This window comes from Homo sapiens, chromosome 2, assembly GCF_000001405.40.
Source record: "Homo sapiens chromosome 2, GRCh38.p14 Primary Assembly".
In the NCBI taxonomy this organism is placed as follows: domain Eukaryota; kingdom Metazoa; phylum Chordata; class Mammalia; order Primates; family Hominidae; genus Homo; species Homo sapiens.
In genome coordinates this window covers 95,782,761-95,806,982 of record NC_000002.12, presented here as the reverse complement: position 1 = coordinate 95,806,982, position 24,222 = coordinate 95,782,761, and the positions used below count along the sequence as shown (strand labels likewise).

Here is a 24,222-nt window from a genome sequence, read left to right as displayed (position 1 = left end):
TGCATCCTCAGCTGCTGGTCTAGAAACTTTTTTTCCATGAGTGAAACTGCACATTGGGGATGGTGGGTCGGGGCTGTGAGTCCAGAGAGTTAAGCAGTAACCCCAAAGATTTTAACTGGGATCCAGAACAGCTTTTATCATCGCTCTTCTTTATGTCTATATTTATCTTTAGTAATTGTACCATATGCTGCATTTTCCACTGGTTACATAGGTAAGCCTAGTCCTCCCCAGAACATTCTTACACCAATGATGGTGACAATATGCTGTATTTCTTTTGTATCGACTCCTTACTTACTGTAGCTACTCAAATTGTACTAAGACCACTGGTACTAATCTGCAAACTAATTTTGAAGTACCTGGAAGTACAGATTTGAAAACCTTTTATAGCAATCTGACATTGCCACAGTATTTTACATTTTACAAAAAATAAAAGTCTTTCACTCTGGGTAGTTTGAAAAGCACCACTGCAGAGAAAATAGTTGACACTTCACAAATGCTTATTTGATTTTCCTGAAGGTGATAAGTAAATTAGATATTCTATAATGCGTTATCTTTAACACAAAAATTAAAGTAACTATTTAAACAATTAAATAACAGAAATTCAGATTCATGGTAAAATCAAAGAATATAAACTAAAAATTCCCTATATTTTCTATATTTTCTCAGAAAATATCAATAAATATATTTTCTGAGAAAATATAAATAAAATTTCCCTACATTTTCTGAGCTTGAGTAACTCTTTAACAAAATGTTGACATAGATAAGCACTTCAGCATTCATGGATAAGCATACTTTCATAAAATCTGAAGAAAAATATATTTGATAATTCCAATGCCTGTCTCAGAGCTACTTTTTCTGCTGGTACCTCTGACTGGAATGCTTTCTCTCTCAACTCATACTTTTAAATTCTAGCCCCCTTTCAGGATCCAAATGCTCCATTTTGTAGAACATGTTTATTAAAATAGTTTATACTCTCTTATTGTATTATTATATGATGCGTTAATTCATGGCAACTTGTTAATATGTCATATTTCCTCTTAAGCTTCTTAAGACGAGACCATTTATTATCACTTTGTATATTTTTAATCTTTCCCAGAATAGGTGCTCTATAAATGCTTACTCAGTTAACATCATTAAATAAGGCAACACAATGTAATTTTCACTATTAATAACGACTGCATTAGCAGGGCAAGGACTCTGAGGTATTTGTCTGACAAGCATTCAAAATTGCTAGCCAATGTTAGAACTAGAAATTTTGGAAAAGGTAGTGAGGTCAAGTCATTGACTGACCTTGGCTTTACTCATACATACTCTAACCAGATGGATACACATCAGAGCCTCAGCGTCTCAGAGTTTGAATGGGCCATAGGCACCACCTAAACTAATAGTCAAACCAGAAAAAGTATACGAGGACACTTGGAAGATGTATTGAGTTGTTAACCTAAAAGTTAAGAGAACCGAGAATCTAAATGGTGGTTGGTTAAGAAAAATACCATCTCACAAAAGAATACTCCTAACCACTACTGCAAAAAACATACTTTTGGGGAAAATAGACCCATATGGTTTGTACACATTCTCAAATATCTAAAAGTGACTTGGGCTTGATAAGTAGTTCTACATGCTTCTGTTAGATTTCCAATTTATCTCTGTTTTGGTACCAGTACCATGCTGTTTTGGTTACTGTAGCCTTGTGGTATAGTTTGAAGTCAGGTAGCGTGATGCCTCCAGCTTTGTTCTTCTGGCTTAGGATTGACTTGGCAATGCGGGCTCTTTTTTGGTTCCATATGAACTTTAAAGTAGTTTTTCCCAATTTTGTGAAGAAAATCATTGGTAGCTTGATGGGGACGGCACTGAATCTATAAATTACCTTGGGCAGTATGGCCATTTTCACAATATTGATTCTTCCCATCCATGAGCATGGAATGTGCTTCCATTTGTTTGTGTCCTCTTTTATTCCGTTGAGCAGTGGTTTGTAGTTCTCCTCGAAGAGGTCCTTTATGTCCCTTGTGAGTTGGATTCCTAGGTATTTTATTCTCTTTGAAGCAATTGTGAATGGGAGTTCACTCATGATTTGGCTCTCTGTTTGTCTGTTATTGGTGTATAAGAATGCTTGTGATTTTTGCACACTGATTTTGTCTCCTGAGACTTTGCTGAAGTTGCTGATCAGCTTAAGGAGATTTTGGGCTGAGACAATGGGGTTTTCTAGATATACAATCATGTCAACTGCAAACAGGGACAATTTGACTTCCTCTTTTCCTAATTGAATACCCTTTATTTCTTTCTCCTGCCTGATTGCCCTGGCCAGAACTTCCAACACTACGTTGAATAGAAGTGGTGAGAGAGGGCATCCCTGTCTTATGCCAGTTTTCAAAGGGAATGCTTCTAGTTTTTCCCAATTAAGTATGATATTGGCTGTGGGTTTGTCATAAATAGCTCTTATTATTTTGAGATACGTCCCAGCAGAGATACAGACCAATGGAACAGAACAGAGCCCTCAGAAATAATACCACACATCTACAACCATCTGATCTTTGATAAACCTGACAAAAACAAGAAATGGGGAAAGGATTCCCTATTAAATAAATGGTGCTGGGAAAACTGGCTAGCCGTATGTAGAAAGCTGAAACTGGATCCCTTCCTGACACCTTATACAAAAATTAATTCAAGATGGATTAAAGACTTAAATGTTAGACTTAAAACCATAAAAACCCTAGAAGAAAATTTAGGCAATACCATTCAGTATATAGGCATGGGCAAGGACTTCATGTCTAAAACACCAAAAGCAATGGCAGCAAAAGCCAAAATTGACAAATGGGATCTAAGTAAACTAAAGAGCTTCTGCACAGCAAAAGAAACTACCATCAGAGTGAACAGGCAACCTACAAAATGGGAGAAAATTTTTGCAATCTACTCATCTGACAAAGGGCTAATATCCAGAATCTACAAAGAACTCAAACAAATTTACAAGAAAAAAACAAACAACCCCATCAAAAAGTGGGCAAAGGATATGAACAGACACTTCTCAAAAGAAGACATTTATGCAGCCAACAGACACATGAAAAAATGCTCATCATCACTGGCCATCAGAGAAATGCAAATCAAAACCACAATGAGATACCATCTCACACCAGTTACAATGACGATCATTAAAAAGTCAGGAAACAACAGGTGTTGGAGAGGATGTGGAGAAATAGGAACACTTTTACACTGTTGGTGGGACTGTAAACTAGTTCAACCATTGTGGAAGACAGTGTGGTGATTCCTCAAGGATCTAGAACTAGAAATACCATTTGACCCAGCCATCCCATTACTGGGTATATACCCAAAGGATTAGAAATCATGCTGCTATAAAGACACATGCACACATATGTTTATTGTGGCACTATTCACCATAGCAAAGACTTGGAACCAACCCAAATGTCCATCAATGATAGACTGGATTAAGAAAATGTGGCACATATACAGCATGGAATACTATGCAGCCATAAAAAATGATGAGTTCATGTCCTTTTTAGGGACATGGATGAAGTTGGAAACCATCATTCTCAGCAAACTATCACAAGGAAAAAAAACCAAACACCACATGTTCTCACTCATAGGTGGGAATTGAACAATGAGAACACTTGGACACAGGGTGGGGAACATCACACACTGGGTCCTTTTGTGGGGTGGAGGTATGGGGGAGGGATAGCATTAGGAGATATACCTAATGTAAATGACGAGTTAATGGGTGCAGCACACCAACATGGCACATGTATACACATGTAACAAACGTGCACGTTGTGCACATGTACCCCAGAACTTAAAGTGTAATAAAAAATATATATATTAAAAAAATAACAAAAAAGTGCTAATTGTAAAAAACAACAAAAAAAAGATTTCGAATTTAGTTTGAACCTTCAATGTATACCTTAAGCAAGTGACTTGAAGGAAATTTGAATGCTGTGTGCCTTCTCCCAGCTCTGCCTCACTGAGGATGGGAACCCAGTGGCACCTGAGACTCCTGGATGTAGTGCCTGGGTGACATTCCTGTGGAGAAAAGCACTTTAGGGCCAGTCTCTAGATGTCTTCTCATGAGTCTTCTGCTTTCACATGAAGCTTTTTAGAAGACAGAAGGAAAAAAATGTGAGAAGAAATACCTTACCCTTCCAGAAGATAGACCTGTTGTGCAGAGGTGCATACAACTGAGGACAGGGTTCAACGTTTTAAATTTCCACGTAGTTTCTGTGACTTCATTTAAGAGACCGTTTTTTGAATTCCATGGTTCCAATTTGTGTCTATTTTCCTGTTCACATAAATTTATAGGAATATACATGCCAGCTGTGAGAGATGACTTTATTTCACTGTTGCTCTTATATCCCCCTACAGTTGTCACAAGGACACCGATATCACACAGTGACATGAACCTAGACATATAGTACACTTGGCAGAAGAATTTGCCAGGTCTAGCCCAGCAGTCCATTCAATGATCTAAAATTGTGATACAGAGAAAAACAGAAACACATATGAAACACTATAGTCAAGATACCCTGAAGTAAAAAACAGAGTAATTTTGACTGATGCATGACACATGCAGAGCCATATTGCACATGTATGTGCATATGTAAGGATCATATTGTATGATCATATTGTATGATCCTTCTCTATAATCTGTGTTTATAGGGCATATCTATGTACAACCTCTATTACACAGAATTAGGCTCAGCCAGAAGGGGGCCAAGATGGCCAACTAGAAGCAGCTATGGTGCATGGCTCTCACAGAGAAGAATGAAAGGGATGAGTAAACACAGCACCTTCAACTGAAATATCCAAGTACTCACACTGGAACTGATCAGGAAAACAGCTCCACCCATGGAGAATGGAAAAAAGCAGGGCAGGGTGACAGCCCACCCAGAAGTGACAAAGAGCCAAGGGGAACCCCTTCGCCTGTGCAGGGAAGTGATGAGTGAATGTGTGAAAATAAACTCCAAACCAGAATTTCATATCCAGCCAAACTAAGCTTCATAAGCAAAGGAGAAATAAGCTCCTTTTCAGACAAGCAAATGCTGAGAAAATTTGTTACCACCAGACCAACTTTACAAGAGCTCATGAAGCTCAGAAGTGTCCCACAACTACATGGAAATTGAACAGCCTGCTCCTGAATGACTCCTGGCTAAATAATGAAATTAAGGCAGAAATCAGGAAGTTCTTTGAAACCAATGAGAACAAAGAGACAATGTACCAGAATCTCTGGGACACAGTTGAGGCAATGTTAAGAGGGAAATTATACCTCTAAATGACCTTATTCAAAAGCTAGAAAAATCTCAAGTTAACAACCTAACATCACAACTAAAAGAACTGGAGAACCAAGAGCAAACAAACCTCAAATCTAGAAGACAAGAATCAACCAAAATAAGAGTTGAACTGAAGAAGATACACACACACACACACACACACACACACACACACACACACACAAATTCAAAAGATCAATGAATCGAGGAGCTTGTTTCTTGAAAAAAAGTAATAAAATAGATTGACCACTAGCTAGACTAATAAGGAAGAAAAGAGAGAAGATTCAAATAAACACAATCAGAAATAATAAGGGTGATATTACCACTGACCCCACAGAAATACAACCATCTGAGAATATTATAAACAACTCTATGCACATAAACTAGAAAATCTAGAAGAAATGGATAAATTCCTGGACACATACACCCTCCCAAGATTGAATCATTGAATCCCTGAATAGACCAATAATGAGTTCTGAAATTGAGGCAGTAATAAATAGCCTACCTACCAAAAAAAAAAAAAAAAAGCCCAGTACCACATGGATTCACAGCTCAATTCTACCAAATGTACAAAGAAGAGCTGGTACCATTCCTGCTGAAAGTATTCCAAAACAATTGAAAAGGAGGGACTCCTTCCTAACATTGTATGAGGCCAACATCATCCTGATACCAAAACCAGGCACAGATACAACAAAAAAAGAAAACTTCAGGCCAATATGCTTGATGAACATTGATGCAAAAATCCTCAATAAAATATTGGCAAACCGAATCCAGCAGCACATCAAAAAGCTTATCCACCGTGATCAAGCAGGCTTCGTCCCTGGGATGCAAGGTTGGTTCAACATATACAAATCAATAAATGTGATTCATCACATAAACAGAACTAAAGACAAAAGCCACCTGATTATGTCAATAGATCCAGAAAAGGCTTTGATAAAATTTAACAACCTTCATGTTAAAAACTCTCAATCAACTATGTATTGAAGGAATCAGAGCCATATATGACAAACCCACAGCCAATATCATACTGAATGGGCAAAAGCTGGAAGCATTCCCCTTGAAAACTGACACAAGACAATGATGCCCTCTGTCACCACTCCTATTCAACATAGTATTGGAAGTTCTGGCCAGGGCAATTAGGCAAGAGAAAGAAATAAAGTGTATTCGAGTAGGAAGAGAGGAAGTCAAACTATCCCTGTTTGACCCCATCATCTCTGCCCAAAAGCTATTTATTTATTTATTTATTTATTTATTTATTTTGGGATGGAGTCTTGCTGTGTCACTCAGGCTGGAGTGCAGTGGCACAATCTTGGCTCACTGCAACCTCCGCCTCCCGGGTTCAAGCGATTCTCCCGCCTCAGCCTCCTGAATAGCTGCTACTACAGGTGTGTGCCACGACGTCTGGCTAATTTTTTCTATTTTTAGTAGAGACAGGGTTTCACTATGTTAGCCAGGATGGTCTTGGTCTCCTGACCTCATGATCCACCCGCCTCGTGAACCTACCCCCCGTGCACCTACCCCCCGTGCACCTCAAGACTCACCGCCCACAGCCTCGCTCAGGAAGATGGGCAGCAGCTCAGCACTCAGCCATGCCAGGTGAGGTGTGTGAGGCCTGGGCCAGGCCGTGGCACCACCAGCAAGTCGCCCTGGCGGATGCGCAGCAGGGCCACGTGTGCCCGCAGCAGGCTCAGTGAGTGCTGCAGCAGGCTCCACAGCTGCCCAGAGAAGCCTACATCAAAGTCACGCAACAGTATCTCCTCCGTCAGCCAGGAGAACTCCCCTAGGAGCTGCTACAGGAACACACCCTGGGTGGGCAAAGCAGGGCTGAGCAGCAGGGCCACACATCCACCCCCCCACCCCAACCGCCCAGGTCCCCACCACATTGCACCCCCTACCTTCTGATGCTTGAAGAGCAGCAGCGTCGCCATGATGGCCGTGCTCATCACCGCAGAGCTCCCCACACTGGCTGGAGTGGGGCGGAGGGTGGAGATGCTGGTCAGGTTGAGGCCCAGCAGCCTGGTCCCTCCATGATCTGGCAAGTCTTCCTAGCCACACATCCCAACTCCACCCCAGGGATGAGGAACGTATGCCCGGAGCAGTGGTGTTTATCATCACACACAGGCTGAGAGCAGGCCAGGAGCTGGGGGCCTTTCCCTAGATCTCATCGTAGGGCCCACACATCAACCCACAGCCTCTACTAGAGGGGCACTGAAGAAGATACAGATGGATCTCCCTATAAGGGCCCTCTGCAGAGGCACTATGCTAAGCCCCTTACACGTATCATTCCATTCAGTTAACACCATCCCCACCCAAAGCTAAGGAGACTCCGCTCAGAAGGCAGGGCTGGGTGTGGCCTTGGGGAAGCAGCTGCAGCCTCCTGGCCTCAGGCCACCATCTCTGTGCATGCACTTAGCTGCTCCCTCATGATGGCCCTGGCTGCCTGCTCCTCCTGTAGGAGGAGGGTTCCATTCTTCTTCAGATGTCCCCGAGGTACCACAGAGGGCCTCAGGTGCAGACACTCACTTGGAATGGAGAACCCTGGTGACTGGCTGACCCCGACAGAGGGGACGGTTCAGTGACCCACCCTCAAAGGCCCAGATCTGGTTCACCCTCACCACTCAGGACATGACAGCTCAGTCTCCTGACCAGGAGCTGGTCCTCTTCCTTGAGGGCCAGGAGAGGCCCAGTTATGGGGGTCCACTCCTGCTCCTTCTCAGTGTCTGGGACAGCAGTACTGAGATAGAGACACAGATTACAGGATGAAGGGTCCAAACACAAAAACAGCTGTGGGAATGCCTAGAGCTTTCTAAAAGGTGAGGGTGTTTCCCCCTCCCAGCCCCAGGACAGAGGATGGCTTCTATAATCCCCAGTCCCATCCAGGCCTCTGTGCCATACCCCACACTCAGACTGTTGGCAAGGCGAGTACCTGGAACTATTCTAGATGACCCCAGGATATTTGGTGAGGGAGGGCTGCTAGTGTGTGTATATGGGGGATACATAAGCTGGTGCTGAAGGGCTGCTTGCCTTGCCCCCTGAGACCCCACACTCCCGTGCCCCTACCATTGGCCCAGCATGATGGGCTGCAGTAGCTGCTCCAGGGTCTGTCTGCCGCCCCAGCAGCTTCTGGCACTGACGATGTATTCCTGCCCAGGAGAAGGCTCTTAGGTGGCCTGCTCGGGCCCACCAGGAAACTTGCACACAGCCCACTGGAAGTAGGCAAAGCTATCCCTGCAGTGGCTTTGAGGGCCAGGCTGCCAGGATGCCTAGGACAGACACCCCAGGTACTCCCAGCCTTCCCCAGCTGGCTCCATACCTGCAGGGAAAAGGGCTGAGCTAGGCGCACCCAGGAGCAGATCCGGTGGCTGCAGCCCCAGCGGCTCCACAAGCTACGTAGGACAGCCAGAGCTCCTGTCCACAGCCCCAGGGGGGCCGAGGCCTGCAAGGAGGGAAAGGATAACTATACTCGCCGAGGACACTGCTCTCGGGCGGACATCAGGGCTGCCCACCCATCCTGGTCTCCAGAGGTATCCTCTGGTCCCACCCTGCTCAGTTTTATCTCAGGCCCAAACTGGTGCGTGACCTTGTCCCAAGCTCCTCTTTCCTTATCCATGACACAGGAAAAATCCCTCCCTATCAAGGTCTTCAGAGGATGAAATGAGATGATGGTAATGGCCTTGACAGGTGCTGCCAGATGATTGTAAGGACGATTCCTTTGTGCCCCCCACAGCCCTAAGTGGGGCTCAGCCACAGGACACAATATTGTGCCTCCTATCGGGAGCTGGTGTCCACCTAGGGGCCCAAGGGGCTGGAAGGTCTCACATTCTCACATGGTCTATGTCACACGGTGCATCCGGAACCAGGTCATAGGTGACGGCCACTGGTACCAGCAGAGCATCTGGGACGATGCCCACCTGGACTGCCTGCACCACAAACCCCACCCAAGCCTGGCCCAGGGCTGACAGCCGTGGCCCCAGAGCCCCAGGAGGTTCCTCCAGGAAGATGAGCAGGGGCTGCCCACTAACCAGCAGCTGCTCTATGACCTGGAATAGGAGGGGTCAGAGGGGGTGTTAAGGCCAGAGCAGAAACAGACCCCTGTCCCCTTAGCCTGGCCCATATGTAACCACTGGGGGCACTCACCGCCTGGACCACAGCCCTGGCAAGGAGCCCCTCAGAGCTGTCCAGGGAGAGGCTGGCCTCTGGGGGCAGGAAAAGCCCCCCAAGCTTCCTCAGCAGAGCTCTGTGGGACATAGGGCAGAGCCTGATAAGGAAAGGGGCTCTGAAGATGTGAATGAGTAAGGGGCTAGTGAGAGTCTCAGCTCCCCCATGGCCAGCCTGTGTCCTACTTGAATACCCTGAGGCAAAGCCATGGCCCTAGGCCCTGTGGCTGACACCTCCATCTAAGCCCCACAGGCTAGACTGCTGTATGGCTCGGAGCAGAGAGGCCACGAAGAGGGCCTTTAGTAGGGAGCTGCTGCCAACACACCCCGATACACACCCCGCCCCAGCCTGCGACTTCTCCCATGTATGTCTAGAGGCAAAAGGTTTTTACCTGAGGGCAGGGGAGCAGGCGCGGGAGTCCCAGGCCACACGAAGCACACCCAGGCCCTGGGAGAGCAGCATAAAGGGCAGCAGGATCCCATCCAGGAGGGTTTTGTGAGTAGAGAGGAGGACAAGCGGCAAGCCCTGCTCCGGGGAGAGCCAGAGGGAAGTGCCAACCTGCCCCACCCTGAGGACACAGGCAGCCAAAGACCCAGGGCAGCCCCAGAGGGAGGGACAGTTCAGCTGCAGAGTTCTTCCTCTGAGCACATTTCCCAAAAGCAAAGGAGCCTTTAGACAACTCTTAAGGTAACTGCACCGACGCACTGACGTCATGGTTGTTAAGACCATGATGGAAAGACGTTAGAGGAAGCCCCATGGGAGCAGGGCCGTGAGACATAAGGGAAGGTCGGCAAAGAGCAGGGGATTTTTCCCACCAGCTGATGGGGACTGGACTGCTGTATGGCTGGGAACAGAGAGGCCAGGAAGCAGGACCAGATGGGGACTGCTCCTGACTTAAGGGCTTGGCCCAGCCTCTGCTCTTCTGCTCCCACCATCCCCAACCCAATGGAGGGCGGGCCTTACTGCCTGGGCGGCCTTCTGGACCATCTTCATCTGACCCTTGTGGAGCTGCACATTCAGGAACAGGCAGTTCAGGAACCTCAGCAGCGCCCAGCTGAACAGCCTGGGGAGGGACACCAGGCCTGAGGTGCGGCAAGGAGTGACGCTCGGCCCGTGGCACTTGGAGGGCTGCCCAGTGCTCCTTAGGGCAGGCCCCGCCACTATCCTCATTTTACAGAAGAAGGAAAGTGAGACTCAGGGAAGCTACAGAACTGCTTCCTGGTAGTGAACGCTAAGAAGTAGCAGTGCTGGGACTGGAAGTTCTGACACCAGAGTTCATGCCCACCAGACGCTGCTACTCTCCCACGACCTCATGGTGGAGCTGCCTCACATCAGAATCAGAGCATCTGCCTCAATTTACCCTAAAGGAGACTAGAGGACCAAGCCTCTCTCCAGGCAGAACCCAGCCTGGTCTTCACAATCTACCAGAAAAGGTGAAATAAAAAGGAAGGATTAGTAATAGAAGAAGGAAAGGGGATAACTGCAGGGGCAAAATCCCTGGTGGGCAGGTGGGTGGGGTTGTCCCTGCAGCACAACAGGAGGACCAGCTCTATTTATTTTTTAGGACAGGGTCTTGCTCTGTTGCCCAGGCTGAAGTGCAGTGGCACAAACTTGGCTCACTACAACCTCTGCCTCCTGGGCTCAAGCGATCCTCCCACCTCAGCCTCTCAAGCATCTAGGACCACAGGCACGCAACAGTGCACCCGGCTAATTTTTGGAGAGACAAGTTTGCCCTGGCTGGTCTATGTCGCCCAGGCTGGTCTTCAGCTCTTGGGTGATCCACCCCGCTCAGCCTCCCAAAGTGCTGATATTACAGGTGTGAGCCACTGCACCGGCATAGGACCAGCTTTAATTTAGGACAGACACATAGCTGTAGTAGCAGGGAAATGTGCTGGATAAGCAGCAAGTCCCCATGTGATGGCTTTTATCTTTCTGTGAAGCATGAGATGGGGAATCAGTTGACAGTGGATAAGTCTAAGAAGGAGCAGGCTGGGTGGGAGCCCTGGAGAGTGCCATGTGTCCCTGTGACATTTGCACTTAGCAAGGAAACCAGTCCACTGGTGTGTGTTTCTCTGGCAACGCTGGGCTGCTCAGGTGCAAAGAGAAGGTAGACAGCGGGGGGTCATGCCCATGACTCCCTCGAAAGAGCATTATTAGCACCCCGAGCCTGCAATCTGAGCTAGGCTTGGAGGGAAGGAAACACAGAAAGGGAGGCTGATGGCTGATGTCAAGGTAGGCAGATCAAGAGACTAGAACAGCAGAGGGCTGGTCAAGGTCACCAACAACCTCTACTTTCTGTCCTTGCTCAGTTGGCCACTCAGCACATTCAAGACAGCTGAGCTTGACACATGCTGCCCCCAAGCCCACCTGTACTCAGGGACTCATTCATCTCCTTGGCTTTAAACACCATCTGTATGCTAAAGCCTCGCAGTGTCTCTGGCCCCAACCTCTCTTCTGAGCTCCAGGCTCCTATATGCAGCTGCCTCCTCAGTGTCTCCACAAGCATGTCAGGTACCAAAACTCTCTCTCTCCAAACTACCTTTTTGGGCCAACTCACTTCTCCCAAAGCCTGTTCTCTGTCCATACCACCAGAAAGTAGGCTAGAAACGGGGCTGTCCTGTAACTTCTCCTACTTCTCTCACTGCCCCTGTTCCCACTGTCCAATCCCTCAGTGAGTCCTGTTAATATCACCTCGACCTCTCAATCCACTTTTCAACCTCTACTGTCCACCATGATCTCTCACCTGGATTAACAAAACAGCCTTCCAGATGCCCTTCTGGTCTCCACTCTTGACCCCAATTCATGATGTCACTTCCCACTTAAAACCTTGCAACTGGTTTTCACTGCACTTGGAGATCCAGTCCAAACTTGCACGGCCTTACATGATTTGATCCCTTCTGCCTCTCGATTTCACCTCCCACAGCTCTCGACCCCTCACTTGCTGGCTTCCAACCACGTCAGCTTCTGGAGCAAACCTAGTCCTTTCCTGCCCAGGGCCAAAGCTCAGGCTATTCCCTCTAGCAAGACTGTTCGCCTCATTCTTGTTCGCCTTTTCTTCCTCTTGGCTCTGGCTTACAGGCTCTTTGTCCCCTTCCTGGTATTCTGTCTCAGCCCTGTTCCTTCCTCCTTGCAGCCGCGCATATCTCGTTTACCCTCCGTTTCCCTGGAACAGTGTGCTGCATCTAACAGAGGCTCCAACCTGTGCTGGCAAAATGTGGGGATGGGAGGCGGTGGTGAAGGCAGGCTGCAGCCCACTCTGGTAAACACTATCCAGCAACCCAGGAGGAGAGTCCAGCACTTCCCCAAGCCCGGCCAACACCCGCTCTCCAGAAGGACAGAGTCCCCAGCCCAAGGGTGAGTGCCCTTCAGCCCAGTTACCTGACCAGGAAGGGACGGGGTGGGGCCTGGATGTGACCCAGGATGCGCTGTACCTCCTTCTTCACAAGGTCAGGCACCTGGCCTTCCCCAGTGCCTCCTGGGACCCTCCCTGAGAGGAGGTTCTGCACCCTGTGAGGGGGTTAGAAGGAGTGCTATGAGGCTGCAGCAGGGCACAGCCTCCAGTCTTCACTCTCCTCCTTAAGGAAGGGTCCCAGGCAAAGCTCATGCTCTAGAAGCCTTGCCCCAGCCACCCCTCTCAAACACCCCTACCTAGTGTCATTGTCATCCCATTCAGGATCCCAGAAATGCCAGCCAGACCTCACTCCCTGCCTCCTCACCCGGTGCTTTCCATGATCTTCTGTGGGACATCCTGGCAGGGGGGGATGTGCTGCTCCAGGGACCACAGGAAATAGCAGAGCCTCCGAACCAGCCAGCCCCGAAACCTGGGCACAGCTCCCAGAGCAGGAGGGAAGATCCTTCAGAGAGGGCCCACCTCCACTAGGACTCACAGAAGGCTATTCAATCAGAAAGGGACCACACCCCAGACCCATGTACTAGGAACACCTGAGCAGGAAGAGCTGCCTGTCCATCTGTGCCCCATTCCCACCCCTCACCCTGTTGAGTCGGGTACAGGTTCACAGCCTGAAACACGGTGGGCAATCCATACATGCTCACAGAAGGAACTGCAAGAGAGCTCCAAGTCTGCCCCTCCCTGCAGGCTTGTGTATGGAACAGAGGACGGGGCCCTTCTTTCTCTATCAGAGGAAGAAAATGGCACCAAAAAGCAGGGCCCCAGCAGCCCTGCACCCAAGGGTCCCTGTCCCCAAGCCTGCTCCAGTCCATAGCTCTGACTACCTTGTGTTCTCCTCCTTCACCAGGATCACATTGCAGAAGCCTAGGTCCGTTATGCTTCTGTGGAAGAGGGACTCCTGCAAGACAGGGGGAGAGACAGCATGTCCTGGGGGGCCTTTGCAAACTGGTAAAGAAACGCCCCTGTACTGCCCCTCTGGCTCTGCCTGGTGGCCTGCTAAGTCTTCCAGGAGAAAAGATTACAGCACAGTATTTCACAAAAGGTGTTTGACCCCAGATTCTAGGCTGGCTCAGGAAAAAGGGGCCCATGCTCAAAACTGAAGTGCTGTATCCTGTACAGAATCACCCTCTTTCAGAGTGGTATATGAAAGTCTCCAGAAGTTATCTTCTCAACAGCAGAGAAAACGCAGCCTGGGTCTCCATGAGAAATCTGGGCTCCCTCACCACCATCACATGACACAAACCAAAAAAGAGGTCTTCAAGCATGTGCTGAGTGCTGGGGAAGTCTGAGTGGGTGATGTCCACAAAACTGAACAACAAAACTGACACAGGCATGATAAGAACCCAGCCCTCTGGGCACACCCTACCACCACTTAGGCCCCTCTGTACTTCTCCCACCCAACTCTCCCAGGCCTGGGAACAAGCCACCGCCCAACCATACAACCAATACCAGTGCATCCATTCCCCTGAAAGACAGAAGCAGAGGCATGGGGCAGGGAAGAGCCAAGCTTTCAGGGACATAAAGGAAGCAGCTTCCCAGAGCTTCGGCTCCCAGAACCAAGCTTCCTGCTTGGGGCCTGGCCCTACCATCACTCACCCAGCTCTTGGGGGTGCAGGTCTGGCAACAGCGACCCACAAAGGGGCGATACTTGCCCAGGAATGGAGTGACAGCCTCCAGCTTCATCCCAAAGCCTGACGACCACAGGCTAGCCTGGAAAGGGCGATGAGGAGAGATGAGAGGACTCAAAGTCCTTGGCAGGAGAGAGGGAAAGATGGAGCAATGGAGGCTCTAGGAGTGAGGGGCACAGCAGAAGGGGTGGCAGGGCAGAGAGGATTTGAGGAATGGGAGGAGACACATTACCTCTCGGCCACTGGGGCTGCTCCTTGGCTGAGTTTGGCATCTGCCTTCCAACATGGTGGCCATGAGAGCCTAGAAGAACCACGAACCAGTCACCTCTGGCACTCTCCTTCTCCCCACAGAAACCTGAGCCGGGGAAAGGTGCAAGGATGGAGCCATAAGAATCTGAGCCATAATCCAGGGCCTCCTGCGGTAACTGCAACCCCCCATCACAGGACAGACAGACATCACTTAGGCCATTAGTGGTGAGGAGAACCTAGGCTGGAAACTAGGGGCTGGCTCAGGTCAAGGCCCTGCCCCACACCCAACTGATCCCACAAAGGAGCCAGCTGTCCTCAAAAGGTCTCACAGTATCCAGGTCAGGGCCCTCCTCGGGCCAACATGAGGGGGATCGGTTGTCTTAGCATCCACACCCACCCGGCCATCTCCTAGCACAGATGGGGGCTGTACCGGAGATGCTGATCCTTTCTGTGCAGAGGGAAAGAATGAGGGCTGGATTGGAAGGAAGGAGGCACAAGACTGCCAAGGAGGAAGAAGACTATCGCCATGAGGCCACCAGGTCCTACTCAGCTGCCCTCCCCTCCTCACCAGGAGACAGCCCTGTAACCACCCAAACATTACGGGAATGTGGGCTGGCTAATAGAAGAGGGACAACTCAGGGTCAGAACACAGAGGCCTACTCACCAGGAATGAGCATCTAGTTGGGGACAAAGACAGACTTTTCCACAATCACTCCCCTCTCACATTAACGTTCTCCACAGAAGACGCCACTTGTATCTCCTCAGCCCCTCCTTCCCACCACAATATTTCCCTGAACTAATAAATACCTATGTTCCTTCAAACAGCACTGAACGACTCCTGGCTCAAAAATTTGGGCCTAAAAGCCCCTCTTCCCTATTTGTCAGCACGACCCTGATGAGTGGGCTGGTCTAATCATGTTTCCCCATCCCTACCACACTTCGATCAGGCCCATCTAGGAGCCTCTCCCTTCCCAGCCACCCACCCAATTCTGCCCAGGGTTCTAAGTCCACGATGCTTCTGGAACACCCTCTAAGCCCTCCCTCTCCTCCTTGGGTTCCCCAGCCCAAGCCTGCCCGGCAAAGAGCCATTCGAAGCCCTCCTCCAGGGCTATGGTTTCATCTCCCTACGTGGTCAGAGTGTCCTGAGGGCAGGGACTCATCTCTGTATGTCCAGCAGTCTGCCCGGTGTGCAAGAGGGAACCAGGAAGAGCCAGCTGACCCACAATAACTTCCTCCCAAGAATTCTCCAGGCGCGTTCCTCCTTTCCCCAGTCAGCTCGGTTTCCAGCCAGGAAGCCAAGCAGTAATGGGATCAGGATCCCTGCAGTGCCCAGGGTCTCGGGGGCCACGGGAGGCTCATCCCAAAGGCACTCTGTTATCTTGAAAATGTTGCATAGCCCTGTTCACAGACACATGGTACAGGAAGGCTACAAACCCACGCCCGCTTTGCAAGGAGGGTGTCTGTCCCCTAGCTGCAGACCACCCCCAACCCCCAAATCTAACCCCATTAGGTCTGTGCTAGCTCTACGGAAGCAGAGTCAAAGCCATGGCAAGGGGTTATTCCCATCTGCCAGTTAACAACACAGCTCAGGACTCCTACAGCAGAGGATGCAAACTGGCACCCCGAGGGCAAATTCAACTCATAGACACATATATATACACACACATATATACATATATAATACATATATACATATATACACACACATATATACATATATAATACATATATACATATATACACACACATATATACATATAATACATATATACATATATATACACACACACACACTTCTTTGACTACACAACGTGCTAAAACCTTATGATGTAAAACCAACGTTGAACAGCAGAGGGCTTGTTACATATACATTTTTTGAAAATCAAGGTTTCCAGTCGCGGCTGTAATGGAAAAAGCTGAGCTCTGGCATCTCTGAGCACACACCCCACAGGGCTCAGCTGGCCGCCACTGTCCCTTTAGCCCGACAGCAGGAGCCCTCCCGTTTGCCTCCACCTTGATTATCACTGACGCCTGAGCCTGTGCACATCTGAGCGTTCAGCCCTTGATCAAGGGTAAAACTCTAAACCTGCCCCCACGTTTGGAATGCTTGTGCCCTACAGAGAGCCGCAAGAGAACTTCACCTTCCCGGCTCTGCTCAAACATGGCCTCGGCGCCCCACAGCCCCCGCCCAGGGCCCCTCAGGCCTCAGCTTCCTCGTCAGACCCGTGACAGGCGCTCCCCGAGCTACCCCAAGATGTGCGAAGGGCACCTGCCCGACATCAGGTCCTGGATGCCCTCTCTGGATGTAGGGGAACGGGATGCCGAGGAAGAGGCAAAGCGGGGCTCTCCACAACACCACGCCCCACAAGGACTCATTCCCGCCACAAGACCCGCATGGCCGGCACTCCCTCCCTTTCGACTTCCGCCCAGTCCCCAACAGGCCGCTCAGACCAGGCTCTTGAAGCAGGAAAGCCCCTGGATGATCCCGGTCCCCTTCTGACCTGGCCTCGCCGGGGAGCGACCACCGCGCCTCTCACCTCACACCAGCTTCCAACTCCCGCCAAAGCAGCAGCTCCGCAAAGCCGCCACAAGGCGTGGACTGCTCAAGGGAAGGAGCGGATTGCCCACCTCCGCGCGTCCGGCTAAAAGGCAGCCCCGAGAGCCAATTGGGATGCGCGCTGGTCCAGAAGCCCCGCCCTGCGTCCCGTACTCTGCGACACTCAACGTGGCCACGGGACCCGTGCTCTGGGGATGGCCTGCTCCGTTTTCCAGTCGGCCCTGGCCCGCGGTGGGAGGGGAGTACTGCAGGCGGCCGCGAGGCCCCGGGTGCTTGAGCTTCGAGCAGGGACTCAGGCCAGATTCTGATTAAAGAAGTTATCCCAGGGCTTACGCTCCTCCAAGCTGGGGTTCGGCTCTAGCAAAATTCTGAGCTGGGGACGATTAGAAAGGAGAGAAGATCATCAAGAGACAGTTGCAGTCATGAAAAACAAGTCAGGCCTCCCAGTGTCATTTCCTTTGTTAATGTGAAGCCTAGACCACCGTCAGGGACCTCCAGCAGCCGCGCGGTGCTAAGGTTTCAGCTGGGCCTGTGGCCGGTGTGTTCATTCGTGTGGTTATTTGATTAAGACCTGACTCCTGTCTCGGCCCTAAGCTCCGCGTAAACAAAGACCTTATGGGTTCATTCATGTTGTAACTGTGTTCCCAGCACCCAGCAGGAGACCAGCCAGTGGGAGGCAAGCAGTATAGAACAGATGAACGTGCGAATGACTGGGCTCTCTGTTCCTGCCCCCATGGAATGAGCCCGCCTGACATGCCAGAGGATTCCACAGTTCCAGAGCATGTGACACACGTGTGCCGGAGCAAAGCCACACATGAGCCTGGCGGGGCCCAAGACAGCACAGAACGTGTTCACATCCTCCCTCGTCTCTGACTCACCAGCCCTGATGTGACTCCCACACCCTGCCCCTCCGGGATGTAGCCTTTCTCTCCCTTTGTGCCATTTCGTGTCTATCCAGGCTGTGTGTGCATCCACTCACCTTCATTGGGATTTGCAACGTCCTCCCGGTACCTGCAGAATCCATTTTGTACCCCATCTTACCGTTCTTTTGTATCAGGGTGCCTGTCCACATCGAGATCCTGAGACTCTGACGCTGAAAAACGAAAAATATAGACTTTCACTTCGAAGTTGTAAGTTGCCTCCTAAGAGTGCAGACTTGAATTTACCGAAGGCTGACGCCTCTTAGTTCTGGGAACACCATCTGTACAGGCAGCCGAGTTTTGCCGTTGTGAACACGTCCCCACCTCTTAAGGAGTTCTCATGCTGAGAAGTAGCCCCAAAGCAGAGACTTTAGACTAGAAGGTTGCATGGATTGACTGTAGAGACGAGGCGCAGCATCTCAGAGTTCAGCTGTCAGATGTGCTGCTTCTTTGGAAGAAACGTATTTTGTTATGGTGGTGGTGGTTGTTTGCTGCAATTTGGACATTTGAAAAGAAGCATCCCTCTCAGACCCAGATTGGGTCTGGGACCGAGGACTCAGTGTGCTCTTTCTCCCTCAAGCAGTTTGCAGGAGAGGCAGAGCTGCAGTGCAGCAAGACCTGTAGGCCAGCTGCCATACACACTGATTGTGACTGACCCGACCCTGAGAGAAACATAAACTGATTTGAGCTGGGCCCTGCCCAACCTGGACTGGACTTGGTGAGCCCCATCCTGGACTCATGCCAGAATGCATTACCCAGAATATCCTGATGCACCTAACTGACTGCCTGCGCCCAGAGGGACAAAGGCCCTCCCTGTGGCTGGGGGCAGGTGTTCCCTGAAGGCACTGACAGGCCTTTCTCCTGTATATCACCTGGAGAAAAGGACTTGAGCTGGCATTAGAATGGGCAGAGGGGCTCTTGCCAGTCTGTCTGGGGACCACCAGCGGGGCAGAGAAAAGGAGATGTGATGTTTAATTTTAGGTGTCAGCTTGACTGGGATACCCAGATACCCAGAGAGCTGGCAAGGCATTATTTCTGGGTATATCTGTGAGGGTGTTTCTGGAAGAGACTGGCATTTGAATCACTGGACAGAGTAAGGAATATTCACCTTCACCCAATGGGGGCAGACACCATCCAATCGGTTGAGGGCCTTGATAGAAAAAAGGCAGAGGAAAAGAGAATTTGCATGCAGGCTCTCTCTTTCTTCCCTTCTCTCTCTCTCTCTCTCTTCCCTTCTCTCTCTCTCTCTCTCTCTCTCTCTCTCTCTCTCCTGCAGCTGGGACAGCCATCTTCTCCTACCCTTGGACATTAGATCCAGGCTTTGGGTTCTATAACTTGGACCAGCAGCACCCCCACCCACAGGTTCTCAGGCCTTCAAACTTGGACTGAGCTACACCACCAGCTTCCCTGGTTCTCTAGCTTGCAGAAGGCATATGGTGGGGCTTTTCAACTTCCATAATCACGGGAGCCAATTCCCATAATAAAGCTCATCTGTCCATCCCCCTACCTATATTCTTGGTTCTGTTTCTCCATTCTATGCTGTGGTTTGCTGCAATGTTGAACAAGACTTTATGGAAGATTCCGGAGTAATAGGGATCTACAACATAGACACCACCAATGGTTACCTCTGAAGGTGGCTGTGCTCAGAACACCTGGGCCTGGGAGGGAAAGGGATGTCTCAGAGGGAGGCATGTCTCCTCCGTTAGTTAGGGTTATGAGGAAATTCACTTTTCCATTGCCTTTTGTTCTATCCAGGCCCTCGACTGATTGGATGGTGTCTGCCCCCGTGGGGTGAAGGTGAATATTCCTTACTCAGTCTGGAGATTTCAAATGCCAATCTCTGAGGAACCCTGATTAAAGGAGGAGACATGCCTCTTTCTGAGACACCCTTTCCCTCCCAGGCCCAGGTGCTCTGAGCACAGCCACCTCCAGAGGTAACCATTGGTGGTACTCTATGTTGTAGATCCCTTCCGTTATACCAGAACCTTCCATAATGTCTTGCTAAGCACTGCAGCAAATGGCAGCCTAGAATGGAGAAGTCAAATATGGGTGCTAGTGGCAGGAGAATGGGAACATTGATGCTGGGAAGCTGCCAACAGACACTGACCACACATGCCACTTTCCTCTGGCCAAGGCTGGCACCACTTCTATAGATGAAAACTTGAGCCAAGAGGCTGGGATAGAGTGAGTGGGGAACCCGAGATCCTTTCTAATACTGGGGATCTGGGATTCTGTGAAGACCAGGGACAGCGTGAGAGATTCAAGGGCTGACAACCTGAGGGAGGAGGGTGCTGCATGCTACAGTGTTCTGTCCTCCACATCGGTATCTTCAACACCAACTTGGGGGATGACACAGAAGGCAGGCTTGGCCTTCTAGCAGATGTCATAAACCAATAAGGAATAAAGGGTACTTACTGACAGAATCTGGATTCAAAGACAATTTGAGAACAGGGGAATTATGATCAAAATAAGCCCCAACCTGAAAGAGTGTGGTGGAACCTGAGGGGAAAGTTCCGTAGAGTGGGCAGAGAGTTGGATTTGTTGGTAGGGGCTCTGTCCAGTGGTACTCTTTGTTTCCACTTATTCCAACTCAAGTATGCATAAGCCAAAAGCTCATGGGTTGGCTCACATAACGAGAAAGTATGAATGTGTTAACTCTAGGCATGGCTGGACCTAAGTGCTAAAGCAACATTGTCAGGCCTCCGGTTCTCTCTCATGTGTCCATACTGCTTGTCTCTGCTTGGTTTTGTTCTTCCTGAAGGCTCTTTTCTATAAAAACCTGACTGCCAACCGCCCAAGACTTATATCCACCCTCCTCATCAACCTTAGTAGGAAGAAACTTCTGTCCCTCAACATACACATGAAACCCCAGGGAAGACTCCGGTACTGCAAGGATCGTCCTCATACCCTCTTGACCAATCCCTGTGGCTAGGGGGTGTGGCATGTCCTGATGTAGTGACTGGACCCACACCATTGCCCCCTTTCCTGTCTTTGGTGAGGGGGCACCATGATTGACCAGCCTAGGAGAAACGGAGTGCACGGGGTTGGTTTTCTCAGGGAATGGTGCTGGCTGACATGAACAACATGTCCACCATGGTGTCTAATGCTGACTGGATCCATTTGACCATTTGTCTGGTCTCTGCCACATCCCAGGGCCAAGAAGCTGCTGCACTGTGAGGTCTGGATAAATGTTTTTCAGGTAATGAGTGAACTTCCTTCTCTGTGGACCTTAGCAGGAGATGACTTCTCCTCTTCTCTTGAATGGGGATGATAATCTGTCTACTTACTTGACAATGTTGAGGTGTAGCTCAGTCAAGTCATGAGGTAGACAGGCTGAATGAAGCACAACAATCCTCCCAATCCCCGGGACAAGGGGGAAGCAGCCAGTGCCGCCTCATGATGCTGGCCGGGAGGGTTGGCCCATGCTAGGGAAAGCCAGAAGTTCTGTTGCTCTGTGTCCCCTTGCCCCTTGCCCCAACTTCCCACCATACCTGCTTCCTCCAGGACACCTGGTTTCGTCCACCCAGAAAACATAGGTTCTGTGACAGGATGTTTCCTCCCTCTTGCCAGGCGTGGCTGGGAATGGAAGCAGTGATGCTGAAGAATATTCCAGGCCCACTCTGTCTTCCTCCCTGGAGATCTGCTCCCTAGCATTGATTGAGCAACTCCATCAATTGCCGACTAATTGGTAGGTGGGAGTAGAATGGGGGTGTAGATACTCCCCAGGTAAAGTCATCTCCTGCTCCTGGGAGGGGTGGCCTGATATATGGAGATGTCAGTTCTCCCTCAATTCATCCATCACTTCACTGTAGTCCCAGTAAAGATTCCAGTTTTAGAAACTCACTCTGAATCATGCGAGGAGGGATAAAGGTCCACAGATGCCTAAGCCAAAGGAGGGTAGGCAGGAAGCTCTTCCAGATACTCAGGTACACTCTAAAGGTGCTGTTGTTGTCTTAAGCAGTATGGTGACAGTGAACCAACAGACAACTCAGCATGGAGAGGGGAGATCCCTGGTTAGAGGGAAATTTCATCTATGATAAAAGGTGCATCACAAGTCAGTGGGAAAGAGTTGCTGTTCTTGTTGGAAAAACTCTTACTATATGGAGAAAAACAATGTGATCCCTTATAAGATGGATGCTCAGATGATGGATTAAAGAATCATACATTGATTCTTTTTTCATTCTTATACTTTAAGTTCTAGGGTACGTGTGCACAACGTGCAGGCTTGTTACATACGTATACATGTGCCATGTTGGTTTGGTGCACCCATCAACTCATCATTTATATTAGATATTTCTCCTAATGCTATCCCTCCCCCAGCCCTCCACCCACCGACAGGCCCTGGTGTGTGATGTTCCCTGCCCTGGGTCCATGTGTTCTCATTGTTCAATTCCCACCTATGGGTGAGAACATGGGGTGTTTGGTTTTCTGTGTTTGTGATAGTTTGCTGAGAATCATGGTTTCCAGCTTCATCCACGTCCCTGAAAAGGACATGAACTCATTCTTTATAATGGCTGCATAGTATTCCATGGTGTATATGTGCCACATTTTCTTAATCTAGTCTATCACTGATGGACGTTCGGGTTGGTTCCAAGTCTTTGCTATTGTGAACAGTGCCGCAGTAAACATACGTGTGCACGTGTCTTTATAGTAGCATGATTTATTATAATCCTTTAGTTATATACCCAGTAACGGGATGGCTGTGTCAAATGGTATTTCTAGTTCTAGATCCTGAGAAATTGCCACACTGTCTTCCACAATGGGTGAACTAATTTACACTCCTACCAACAGTGTAAAAGTGTTCCTATTTCTCCACATCCTCTCCAGCATCTGTTGTTTCCTGACTTTTGAATGATCGCCATTCTAACTGGCGTGATATGGTATCTCATTGAGGATTTGATTTGCATTTCTCTGATGACCAGTGATGATGAGCATTTTTTCATGTGTCTGTTGGCTGCATAAATGTCTTCTTTTGAGAAGTGTCTGTTCATATCCTTCACCCACTTTTTGGTGGGGTTGTTCGTTTCTTTCTTGTAAATTTGTTTAAGTTCTTTGTAGATTCTGGATATCAGCCCTTTGTCAGATGGGTAGATTGTAAAAATTTTTTCTCATTTTGTAGGTTGCCTGTTCACTCTGATGATAGTTTATTTTGCTGTGCAGAAGCTCTTTAGTTTAATTAGATCCCATTTGTCAATTTTGGCTTTTGTTGCCATTGCTTTTGGTGTTTTAGTCATGAAGTCCTTGCCCATGCCTATGTCCTGAATGATATTGCCTAGGTATTCTTCTAGGGTTTTAATGGTTTTAGGTCTTACATTTAAGTCTTCACTCCATCTTGAGTTAATTTTTGTATAAGGTGTAAGGAAGGGATCCAGTTTCAGCTTTCTACATATGGCTAGCCAGTTTTCCCAGCACCATTTATTAAATAGGGAATCCTTTCCTCATTTCTTGTATTTGTCAAGTTTGTCAAAGATCAGATGGTTTTAGATGTGTGGTTATTTCTGAGGCCTCCATTCTGTTCCATTGGTCTATGTGTCTGTTTTGGTACCACTACCATGCTGTTTTGGTTACTGTAGCCTTGTAGTATAGTTTGAAGTCAGGTAGTGTGATGCCTCCAGCTTTGTTCTTTTTGCTTAGGATTGTCTTGGCTGTGTGGGCTCTTTTTTGGTTCCATATGAACTTTAAAGTAGTTTTTTCCAATCCTGTGAAGAAAGTCATTGGTAGCTTGATGGGGAGGGCATTGAATCTATAAATTACCTTGGGCATTATGGCCATTTTCACGATATTGATTCTTCCTATCCATGAGCATGGAATGTTCTTCCATGTGTTTGTGTCCTCTTTTATTTCGTTGAGCAGAGGTTTGTAGTTCTCCTTGAAGAGGTCCTTCACATCCCTTGTAAGTTGGATTCCCAGGTATTTTATTCCGTTTGTAGCAATTGTGAATGGGAGTTCACTCATGATTTGGCACTCTGTTTGTCTGTTATTGGTGTATAGGAATGCTTGTGATTTTTGCACATTGATTTTGTATCCT

The 24,222-nt window shown here is 48.8% G+C and overlaps 1 protein-coding gene and 1 pseudogene across 2 annotated transcripts; both read right to left on the bottom strand.

The window, feature by feature from the left end:
- On the bottom strand, positions 6,792-14,771 carry GPAT2P1 (glycerol-3-phosphate acyltransferase 2 pseudogene 1; annotated as a pseudogene).
- Positions 6,792-17,318, bottom strand: LOC128966744 (glycerol-3-phosphate acyltransferase 2, mitochondrial; the record flags this gene model as incomplete). 2 transcript variants are annotated; one of them, NM_001422178.1, is given in 16 exon segments in its annotated part: positions 6,792-6,867; positions 6,870-7,078; positions 7,169-7,239; positions 7,889-8,007; positions 8,334-8,416; positions 8,587-8,709; positions 9,101-9,313; positions 9,411-9,510; positions 9,823-9,956; positions 10,395-10,494; positions 12,810-12,938; positions 13,148-13,252; positions 13,665-13,738; positions 14,437-14,550; positions 14,701-14,823; positions 17,219-17,318. In NM_001422178.1, coding segments are annotated over 15 exon segments (1,713 nt in total), but the record flags the coding sequence as incomplete, so codon positions are not given.
- Between the last annotated feature and the right edge of the window lie 6,904 nt (positions 17,319-24,222).